The sequence below is a fragment of the Homo sapiens genome, chromosome 4 (assembly GCF_000001405.40).
Source record: "Homo sapiens chromosome 4, GRCh38.p14 Primary Assembly".
NCBI lineage: Eukaryota > Metazoa > Chordata > Mammalia > Primates > Hominidae > Homo > Homo sapiens.
Window position 1 is genome coordinate 10539335 of NC_000004.12, and position 12225 is coordinate 10551559.

Sequence of the window (12225 nt, forward strand, 5' to 3'; positions counted from 1 at the left end):
CATTTTAGGCTATTTAATGTTCCCCATTAGAATCAGTGATGAATGAGTTTCCCATAGAAGCTCAAAATGAGCCTATCCTGAGTTTTTGTATCCATGAGAAATGCTTTCTCACTAAATAATGCCTGTGCCCCAAACTGCTGATGCAAGCTTGAAGAAGGATGAAAAATAAGAGAGCATCCTTCATTCTATGCAGAAACAAGGAGGAAATGCTGATCACTTTTCTGACTTTCAAAATAAGGTAATTTTGGAAATTTAAACTCTTTTGGGAAAATGAAATATGCTCACTCGAGTTTGTCACATTCTGTGATTAGCACCAGCTGCCAAATGTCCCACACGTTTGGGAATGAAGAGCCATCATCAGTACTTAATATCAGAGGGATGGTTTTATAATATTTATTTTTCATAAAGGCAATAATGTTTTTGACAAAAGAGTTTTCAAGCATGGTTATATTTCTCCAGCCTGGGTGATGGGAAGCTGGGGGCCAATATTGGTCCTGGAATAATCTGAATCCCCTTTCAGTTCTTACATAAAATATGCTGATTCTGTTCTGGCATTTGACATTTTCTTTATTAACTAATTCAGGCCACAAGTGAGCAATTCTTTCAATAATAACTCATTTTGTTACAGAGAAGCTATATTTCCTGCAAAGAATCAAAACACAGGTTTCTAGAATTATTTTCTTCTAGGTATAACTGGTTAGGCTTTTGTGTCCCCACCCAAAGCTCATCTTTAATTGTAATCCCCAGGTGTTGAGGCAGAGGCCTGGTGGGAGATGATTGGGTCATGGAGCAGTTTCCCCTATGCTGTTCCCATGTTACTGCATGCACTGTCATGAGATCTGATGGTTTTATACAGGGCTCTTCGCCATTTGCTTTGGACACAGGTTCTCTCACCTGCTGCCATGTAAGACATGCTTGCTTCCCCCTCCACCATGATTGTAAGTTTCGTGAGGCTTCCCCAGCCATGTGAAACTGTGGGTCAATTAAACCTCTTTTCTTTATAAATTACCCAGTCTTGGTTATGTCTTTGAATGGACCAATACACTCCCCACCCATTAGGGAGCCTGCTCTGAAAGGTACTTTGTTTGGTTTCCCTTGTCCCCCTCCCCCACACCCACACTCTTGCTGGTCATTTCACCATTGATGATGAATCTCTCACCTGGGCATTCTCTGGACTTCTGGAAAGGTGTGTCTCTGAGATAAAGGTGGCCTGCTGCTCTCCGGCTCAGGGGGCAAGGGTTGGTACTTCTTCGGAAGTGTTATGAGAGGCCTGTGTGGAGAGTCGCAGTAGGGTCCTGAGAAAGTTTGCTGCAGCAGTGATGCCTCAGGCCCTGAATCCACACTGCTCTGCCCTCCGTGTCCCCAGCTTTGGGTTGAAAATGCTAGTTTTTGGATGCTAACTGCGGAGCAGACCGATCTGGTCTGGCACTGTTTTCTAAAGGGCGTGACATAATTTTCTATGGGGAGTCAATGTGCTCCTCCATAGTGCACCTGTTTTGGCTTTAGGAGGCCTGTGGAGAAAATGATAACAGCCTTCCATTCATCCCAGACTGGCAGACCTGAGTTTTTAGAACTACCCAAATAAATATAAAAAAAGTGGCCAGGCATGGTGGCTCACGCCTGTAATCCCAGCACTTTGGGAGGCTGAGGTGGGCGTATCACCTGAGGTCAGGAATTCAAGACCAGCCTGGCCAACATGGTAAACCCCGTTTCTACTAAAAATACAAAAATTAGCCAGTCATGGTGGCATGCACCTGTAATCCCAGCTACTCACAAAGCTGAGGCAGAAGCATCACTTGAGCCCAGGAGGCAAATGTTGCAGTGAGCTGAGATTGCACCACCTCACTCCAGCCTGGGCGACAGAGCCAGACTGTCTCAAAAAAAAAACAAAAAAAAAAAAACCCAATAAGAAATATAAAAATGTTTGAAAGTCAGTGAATGTCTCACTCACTCATATGTTATTCACCCATTCACTCATTTATTCATAAGTTTATCAGGTACTTTAGTAGATGCTGGAGATATAGAGAGGAAAAAGATACAGTTTTTGGTTCAAGCTGCTTCCCTCTAGCAGGGAAGAGAGAGAGATGAAGAAATGATTGCCAGAGAATGTAATGCATACTATGGCAGAGGTGCTCACAGGTCCCAGATAGAGCAACAAGAGTGGCCAGTCACTCAGAGCCTCTGCAGCTGTCTGTTGCTCTTTTCTCCATAGAGATGTATAAATGTAATAGTATTTATATTTATATATGTGTCATATATATATGTATATATATATATCTCACATGAATATATACTTAATATATTGTTCCCTGAGGGCATATCCCATTTTCATATGAATCTAAGCCTGCCAGAAGTATACGCAGCAATACCATCCAGCAGATTTCTGTACTGAAAGAAAGGAGAGGAACAGAAAAAAACGGGAGGAATACATTCATTGAGAAATGAGTGAAGGTATATTGAATAGATAACTGTGAATGAATGAATAAATGATTAAATAGATGAATGAAGGCTTGTTTAATCTTGTTCATTGAACATCTCATATTAGTTTTTTTTTTTTCCACATCCGTCTCTCACTCTGAAATCATATTAGATTTTCAATGTCAAATGTTTGTGTTTCTCTTTTTCAGATGCTGGCACAAATTATTTCATTGTATAGCGAAAAAAAATGCTATTTTAAAGTGTTTTACCGAGGAGGTGGTAAAGGAATCTGAAAAAGAAAAGAGAAACCTAAATTAAGTTTATTGTTCTGTGAGCAGGGCCAATGGCTAACAGTTTTTTGGTTTACAAATAGAAATTACAAATTGTGATCAGACTTATAAGACATATTTTTCTAGAGATATCTGAGTTTTTGCATCATCTATATCTCTAGGCTTCTAAAGTAAATAATGAATAACAAATGCATTTTATTGATTTCTCTTACCTTGTTCTTTCTTACGGATGCATCTCCTAAAACATAAGAGGGAATAGCAGTGAATTTATGGAAAATGTCATCAAGCATTGATTTTATACACGCTTACATGAAAATCATTTTTATTTGTAATAATATTGGTGATAACGTCAGTTAATATTTGCTGAGATCATATGAGATACCCAGAATAATGCTAAACTCTTTAGTTACGTGGTCTTATTAAATCCTCACCCTTGTTCGGTTAATGAAGAAACTGACACACGGGGAAGTTAAATATCTCACCTACACTCACCCAGCGAGTAAATGGTACAATGAAGATTTCATTGCACATCGTGTGACTCTTAAGACCCCTTTGAAACCACGGATTCCTGTTTACGCTTAATGTGCATGTGTATATGTGTGTGTGTGTGTGTATGTGTGTGTGTGTGTGTGTGTGTGTGTATATATATATATATACAATTCAATTTCCTGCCTACCACCTTCATGGGGTATTTCCAAGCAGAGGAAAATAGCATCACAGATTTTTCAAAATAGAATAATTTCTGAAGACCCCCAGAATCCAACTTCTTTATTTTATGGATGAAAAAAAAAACTAAGGACAAACTAGGTGGGATAATTTCTCAAGGACAATTAACCTTAGAAAAATCCCAAGTAGAGCCTGGAACAGATTTGTCTGAACTCTAGGTAGTTCTATTTCCATAATTCAACTCAATGTAATTATCGAGCTTCTACTCTGAGCTAAACACAGTACCAGGCACTGGGGAAAAAAGACAAATACAATGCGATCCTTCCTGTCAAGGTGCTCCTAGCTGGGGTGTTCACAGGCCAAGCTTCTGGCTCTGGGGATGTGACACTGTGAAGATGGCTGTCACCGAACATGTTGCCATAGGCTTTATACCTTAGTGGGTAGACCGGCATTGAAGGCATCATGAACAATCTGATAAGGATGTCAAGTAGAGAAGGACAAAGTATTAAATGAATATGTGGGACACTTAAGTTACTCTGGGTTGTCAGAAGAAGGCTCCTTGGAAAAGCAATGTTTGATTATCTCTAAAAATGGGCGTGGTGTAATAAATGCTATTTTATATGGCTGTTGGGGAATCAGTGAGAAAATGTCTATCTTTTGTTATAGGAGACTTAAACCTCCACTGAACACCGGCTGGGTGGCTTCACACTGAGCATCCTTTGCTTTCCTCATTTGTGAGACAAGGAGGTTGGACTAAATCAGTGATTTTTAACCATGTGCTGAAGAGCTTCCTGCACTGTCCCCTGGAAGTCCCGTGGTGCCTGGGCGCAGGGGGACTGGTTACTGGTTCACCACCCCATGTCATTAAGGGCTTAATTTCAGCCCGCTCTCCACTGCACCGCCTGTTTAGATTCCCCTTGGTGAAAGGTCCAACTGGCACAATACAACACAACACAATGCAACACAGCACAAACTGGTCTGTATAATTTTAATGGCTCTTCTATGTCTAAAACAATTACTTCAAAGAATAAGAATAAAATTACCATTCTTCCTTTCTGTTTTCATTTTTGAAAAACACTTTTGAAATAGGTAGGATTCACTTCTTTATATGAATTCCAAACACTGATTGCACACAGAAATAACTGATGTCCTTGGCATTGTGAAAACACAAAATATGACCCAGGATCTACTTCAACAACAGCAGCAATCTGGTTAACATTAGATCTTTGACTATTTCAAGGAAATCACAAAAAAGCTTAGGCCACATAATGCTTGCTTAAGGGACAAAATTATAAAACATAAAATTAATTTCCTTTCATCTTATTGTTTATTGGCTTCACCTCCAGAGCTCCCTGGTGGACCATCTTGCTGCCTGTGTTGATGACTTTCCCTGCAAAACTAGATGTTGGCTTTCCAAGAGGTCTTTTTTCACTCTATCTATTGGGGATCAATTCAATTCACTGGAAAAAGAATTCAATAAAGAGACTGAGTTCCTGTAATTTAATAGGAAAATTCCCTTTGTGGTTTTCAAGATATCTACCCAGTTTTCTTCAGGGGTTGTGAGTTTAGAATAGGACATCTATCTTCTTTTATTTCATTGATTTATTATTGAGCACATAGTATGTGTTAGGTATGGACTCATTTTTAATATATGCATTGATGTAGGTGTTGGGGGGTATAACACCAACAAATAAAGTTGCTATTCCCATGAAGCTTACATTCAGTGGCAGGAGTTAGGAGATACATAAACAAAAGTATAAATAAACGTTCATGGGTGATGACAAGCACTATGCAGAAAATAAAGCAGATTGGAGGACAGCACGGTGCGGAGAGTAGGAGCTGGGGCTACTGTGTTTTAGGCTGGTCTGAGGAGGCATCTGTGGTTAGGGGATGAAATCAGAGGCCTGAGGACAGCGAGGGAGCATGTCCTGTGGATATCTTGGGAAGGGGATTCCTGACAGAGGAAACAGCAAGGGCAAAAGTCCTCAGGTGGTGTCAGTTCATTTTTCTGTTGCTTAAAACAGAATACTTGAAATTAGGTGATTTTCTAGAAATTAAGTAAGTCCAGGAACAAAGAGGGGCATGTGGTGAGAGCCTTCTTGCGGGTGGTGACTCTGAGGTGTACTAAGACGGTGCAGGACAGCACATGGCGAGGAGGCTGACTGTGCTAATGTGCTAGCTCAGGTCCCTCTTCCTTTCCTCATAAAGCCACCGGTTTTCCTTCCATCAGAACTCAATAACCCATTAATTCATTAATCTGTGAATGGATTGATCTATTTATGAGGACAGAGTCCTCATCATACAATCACCTCTTAAAGGTCTCACCTCTCAATACTGCCACACTGGGGATGAAGTTTCAGCATGAGTTTTGGAGGGGACATTCAAACCAGCATTCCACCCCTGGTTCACCGAAATGCATGTCCTCACATACAAATATATTCATTCCTCCTTGTAGCCCCAAATTCTTAACTCATTCCACTACCAACTCAAAAGTCCAAAGTTCAGAGTCTCCTCTGTGAGCCTGTGAAATCAAAACAAATTATCTACTTCCAAGATGCAATTGTGGGGCAAGCATAAGGTACACATTCCTATTCTAAAAGGGAGAAAGAGGCAAGAAGAAAGGGATAACAGGCCCCACCCAAGACTGAAACCCAAGAAAGAAGAATTTGGGTCCTAAGGTTCCAGAATAATTTTTTTTTGATTCCACGTCTGGCATTCTGTGCACACTGGAGCAAGAGTTAGGGCCTCCAAGGCCTCGGGACACCCCACCCCTATAGCTTGGTTGTGCTTAGTCCACCCAGCTCTCCCAGGTTGGCAATGCACACCAGTAGCTGTACAGCTCAAGGGTCTTGGTGGCAGGCTCACTCCCATTACCATAGTGGGGATTTTCTGCAGTGGCCTTGCTCCTATGGCTCCATTAGGCATTGCCCTGGTGGGGACTCCATTAGCTTCAACACCACATATCTGCTTTGTATAGCTTTAGTGGGGGCTTTTTGCATGTCTCCACTCCTGTGACAAGTCTCTGATTGGGTCCTCAGGCCTTTGACGTCTTTTGAAATCTGGTTGGAGGTTGCTGAGCCTCCACAGCTCTTGCTTTCTGCAAGCCTGCAGAATTAGCACCACACAGATACTGCCAAGGTTTAAAACTTGTACCTTGCAGAGCTTCAGTACAAGGGCCTCAACTGGGGTTGCTTGAGCCGGGCAGCCATGAAGTGCTGTGCTGCAGTGTAGGAAGCAGAGTCCCAGGGTAGCTGTGGGCAGTGAGCTGGTAGACAGCGCCCCAGTCCTATCCCCTGAAACCTTTCTTCCATCCTAGAACTCTAGGCCTGTGATAAGAGGGCAGCCTCAAGATCTGTGAAACACCTTTGGGGTCCTTCCTCCATTGTCTTGAGGGATAGCATCTAGCCCACTTCTATCCCTGTTAATCTCTTTAGCAAATGGTCACTGGGATATACCCTTGGTTTTCTCCTCTGAAGACTTTTTCTCTATGTGGCCAGGCTGAGTTTTCCAAATTTATCCACTCTACTTCTCTTTTAATTAAAAATTCTGTAAATTATTTCTCTGCTCTGAAATATCAATGTAAGTTGCCAAAATAACCCTGCAGCTCCTTCTATATTTTGCTTAGAATTTTCTTCTGCTAGATATCCTAGTTTATCACTCTCAAGTTTGGCCTTCCTCAAAACCCTCAGGCATAGAGACAATTCATTCAAGTTCTTTGCCAATTTATAACAAGAATGGTCTTTATTCCAGTTTTCAATATCTTGCTCCTCAGTTCTACCTCAAACCTCATCAGAATGGCCTTTACTGTCTATATTTCTATCAGCATTCTTGTCACAACCACCTATCTAATCACTAAGAAGTTCCAAACTTTACTTAGCCTTCTTGTCTTCTAAGCTTTCGCCAGAATTTAAACATTTTCTATCCTGCTCCTACAAATTCTTCTACTTTTGCCCATTACTCAGTTCCAAAGCTGCTTTCCACATTTTCAGGTATTCATTATCAGCAACACTCCACTTCTTGACACCAATTTTCTGTGTTAGTCTGTTTTTTTTTGTTGCTTAAGACAGAATAATGGAAACTAGGTGATGATTTATATGCAAAAGGAATTTATTTCTTTCAGTTGTGGAGGCTAAGAAAACCAAGGTTTAGGGGATGCATCTGGTGAGAGCCTTCTTGCTGAAGGGGACTTACTGCAGAGTCCTGAGGCAGTGCAGGGGATCAGATGGTAAGGCGACTGAGTATGCTGGCTCAGGTGTCTTTTCTTATAAAGCCACCAGTTCCCCTTCCATGACAATCCATTCATCTATTAACCCATTAACCCATTAATCCATTAATGGACTAATTCATCCATGAGGGCAGAGCACTCATGATCCAATTACCCCTTTATGCCTCACCTGTCAATACTGCTATATTGGGGACAAAGTTTCAACATGAGATTTGGAAGGGACACTTGAATTATAGCAGGTGGGATGAGCACGAGGAGGAGGTAAGCCCAGATAGGTGATGGCAGAGGTGGGAGAGTGCCCAGATCACATGGGGTCTTGTACAATGGCGCAAAAACTTTGCCTTAACTGTGGTGAATCTTTTTTAAACCACCTCATTAAGGTATCACTGACATAGAAGAGCTTTACATATTTACTGTACACATTAAGATTGAATTTGGGGATAAGTACATATCCATGAAATCAACACCACCGTCAAGGCCATAAACATATCTGTCACTTACCAAAGTTGACTCCTGCCCTTTTTGTTATTGTTACTTTATTTTATTTTCTTTTTTTGGTAAGAACACTTAGCATAATATCTATCCTCTTAGCAAACTTTAAGTACACAGTACAGTGTCATCAGCTGTAGGCACTATGTGGTAGAGTGGGTCTCCAGAATTTATTTGTGCACCATAACTGAAACTTTGTCCCCTTTAAGCATCACCTTCCTATGTCTCCCTCCTCCTTGCTCCTGGCAGCCACCATTCTACTCTTTGCTTCTATGAGTTTGACTGTGTTAGGTTCCACAAGTAAGTGAGATTCTACAGCATCATTTTTCTGCGTCTGACTTGTTTTGGCCCAACATAATGCCCTCCAAGTCCATCAGTATTGTCATAAATGGAAAAATTTCCTTCCCCTTAAGGCTGAAAAATACTCCATTGTGTGTATATACCACAATTTTTTGATCCATTCATCTGTCTATGGACCCTTATGCTGTTTCCATATCTTGGCTACTGTGAATAATGCTGCCATGAACAGAGTGCTGAGAGCTCTTCAAGATCCTGTTTTCAATTCTTTGGGTATATACTCAAAAGTTGGATTCGTGAACCATAAGGTATGTCTATTTTTAATTTTTTAGAGGAAACTCCATTCTGTTTTCAATAATGGCTGTACCAATTTACATTCTCACCAACTGTGTGCAAGGGATCGCTTTTCTCCATATTCTTGCCAACACTTGCCATCTTTTGTTTTTTGTGTGTGTTTTTTAAGTAATAGTCATCCTAAGAGGTGTGAGGTGATATTTCACTGTGGCTCTGAGTTGCATTTCCTTCATGACCAGTGATGCTGAGAACCACTTCCTATATATGTGTTGGCTACCTGTATTTCCTCCCTGGAGAAATGTCCACCCAGATCCTTTGGACATCTTCCAATAAGGTCACTCATTTTTTAGCTCTTCAGTTGTATCAGTTCCTTGTCTATATTGAACATTAACCCTTATCAGGTATATAGTTTGCAAATATTTTCTCCCATTTTGTAGTTTGCCTTTCTACTCCGTTGATTCTTTCCTTTGCTGTGGAGAAGCTTTTTAGTTTGATGTAGCCCTACTTGTTTATTTGTGCTTTTGCTGCCTGTCCTTTTGGTCTCATACCCAAAAAGTCATTGGCAAGATACAATGCCAAGGATCTTTTCCCTATGTTTTCTTCTAGGAGTTCTGTAGTTTTGGGTATACCCCAAGTTGATTTAATCCACCCCAAATTGATTTCCTTGCATGGTGTGAGGAACGTGGTCCTGCCCTGTGCAGAGGAACAGGTCCTGCCCTGTTCTTCTGCACATTAATATCTAGTCTCTCCACTATTTGAAGAGACCATCTTGTCTCCATTGTGTATTCCTGATGCCTTCATCAAAAATTAGTTTAATCAATGCATGCATTTATTTCTGGGCTCTGCACTCTGCCTTACTTGTGTGCATGTTTGGTGTACCACTGACCACGACAGCCCTGTCATGTAATTTGAAATCAGGAAGTGTGATGGCTCCAGCCTTGTTCCTTTTACTCAAGATTGCCTTGGCCACTCAGGGTCTTTTGTGTTACTCAGGGTGAATCTTTATGATACACTGTCCATGTGTCCTGTGTCTTCATTATAATGTAGGATTATTTTTTCTAGCCTCACTTAGTATTCCTCCCTCCCTTTTAAGATTTTTGTGTAGTATAATATCGGCAATAGTTACAAAAATCCACGGGGATTTCAGCCGCATCAAATATGCCGACTGGCAAGTGCTGATACCATGAGCTTCACTTAATCATTGCTTAGCTAACCAAAATCCTTCAAAGTAAGAGGTTAAGGTGAACTTAAGGAACTTTGCAGGTGAAAAAAACTGGATTGAACAAGCAAAGTAACTTGTCTACCATTATACAGCTTTGATGGTAATTCAGATAAATTCCAGAAAGCTTCTTAAAATTTGGGGGCCTTATTTAATAAAGCAATAATAAATCAAGTATTTGTGATATTTAAAGGAGGGTGAGCTTTGGAACTGAATTTGTTAAGATTGAATCTTGATCCTGTTCATACTATGGGCAGGATCATGGCACGTGCTTAATGAATGTTTATGAAATAAACAAATGGATTGAGGAGTGAATGAATTTCCCCATCTGGAGAAGTAAGGAGTGCTTATTTATACTTCATGGAAATTCATGTGTGGAATAAATGAATTGATGCACTTCAAGGCATGGTTCTTAATGCACAGCTGCAGTTACTACTATTATTATAGTATGAAAAATTAGAGGGAAAACGGGAATTTACCTCCCTAATGAAGTACACAAATATTCTAAAATGCTAGGAAAAGTTCTCTGTCAAACAAGAGGACCCAAACAGTTGTTCAAAGTCTTTCCCATCTCCAGTTTTCTCTTGGAGAAGCCAGGCATGCTCTCCACCTGGTGGTCATAACGTGTAATTAGCACCATTTGCCCAGAGACTCATTGGCTTTGCAGTCTCAGGACAGATCTCACAAAGTTACTGCTTTTGGGTAGGTAATGTACTGAGGTGGGCATAGCATGGTTGCAGAATCCGATGGACCTTGGTTTGACTGTTTCCACCACAACTTATTATGGTGAAACCATGAAGACATTGTCAATATCACCGTGTTCTGGGAGGGTTAAAGTAAGACCTCTTGAAGAAGGAAAAAGAGTTAAGGGATTGTTCTTTGGAGTGGCTGCTGCCAGCTTGCAATGGATGGTTGTTAAACTTTCAGAAATTCTGTGAACTGGCTTTACATACAGCCATTATTAAAAATACATTACATAGGCCAGGCGCGGTGGCTCAAGCCTGTAATCCCAGCACTTTGGGAGGCCGAGGCGGGCGGATGACGAGGTCGGGAGATCGAGACCATCCTGGCTAACATGGTGAAACCCTGTCTCTACTAAAAAATACAACACAATTAGCCGGGCGTGGTGGCGGGCGCCTGTAGTCCCAGCTACTCGGGAGGCTGAGGCAGGAGAATGGTGTGAACCCGGGAGGCGGAGCTTGCAGTGAGCCAAGATCGCGCCACTGCACTCCAGCCTGGGCGGCACAGGGAGACTCTGTCTCAAAAAAAATAAATAAATAAAAAATTACATAAACATACACTTAAGTTACAGCAGCCCTCCACTTATCCTAAGGCAAAATGTTCCAAGACTCACGATGGATGTCTGAAACTGAGGATAGTAATAAACCCTATATATCCTATGCTTTTCCTAAATATACAGACCTATGATAAAGGTGATATGTGACAGCAAAACAAGCACACTTTTTTTTCCTTCTTCCCAATTTCACGGATAGAAGATTCATTTTTATTGTCGATCCCAGTAACCTCAGCATACAATATTTTTTCTTTCCTTTTCAAGTTGAGAACTTCCACCTTTTCACTTAAAGGAATCACTTTACATCTTCTCTTTGGCAAATCAGAACTGTCAGCATCACTGCTCTTGCGCTTTTGGACCATTATTAGGTAAAATAAGGGTGACTTGAACCTAAGCACTGAGATTCCACGCAGCGAATCTGGTGGGCGAGATGACTGCTCAGCAATTAACCGGTGGATAATGGACACAGCGCAACAGAAACACTGGACAAAGAAATGATTCGAGTGAGACTGCTCAGGATTTCATCGTGCCGCTCAGAAACAGCATGCGAGTTAACATTTATGAATTATGTATTTCTGGAATTTTCCACTTGATATTTTCAGACCTTGGTTGAGCATGGGTAACTGAAACTGTGGAAAGTGAAACTGAGGATAAGGAGGACTTCTGTATTTGTTTTTCACTTAGCTACTGTTCAATTTGTGGTAAATATATGCAAGACCACCCCCCCACTTTTTTTGAGACCAAGTCTCGCTCCGTTGCCCACGCTGGAGTGCAGTGGTGTGGTCTTGGCTCACTGCAACCTCTGCCTCCTTGGTTCCAGCGATTTTCCTGCCTCAGTCTCCCAAGTAGCTGGGATTACAGGTGTGCACCACCATGCCCGGCTAATTTTTTTGTATATATATATATTTTTTTTTAGTAGAGTTGGGGTTTTACCATGTTGCCCAGGCTCCTGAGTTGTCTCGAAACTCCTGGGCTCAAGTGATCCACTGGCCTCAGCCTCCAAAAGTGCTGGGGTTACAGGCATGAGCCACCA

General features: G+C 41.3%; 1 protein-coding gene across 3 annotated transcripts in view; it reads right to left on the reverse strand.

Moving 5' to 3' along the window:
* Positions 1-12225, reverse strand: part of CLNK (cytokine dependent hematopoietic cell linker) — a 248452-nt gene that overhangs the window by 52940 nt on the left and 183287 nt on the right. For all 3 annotated transcript variants that reach the window (XM_011513775.3, NM_052964.4, XM_017007684.2), the window contains exons 9-11: positions 2921-2946; positions 2688-2707; positions 1160-1270 (exon numbers count right to left, since the gene is read on the reverse strand). In XM_011513775.3, coding sequence (XP_011512077.1) covers positions 1160-1270; positions 2688-2707; positions 2921-2946 — 157 coding nt within the window. The remainder of the gene's footprint in view (positions 1-1159; positions 1271-2687; positions 2708-2920; positions 2947-12225) is intronic.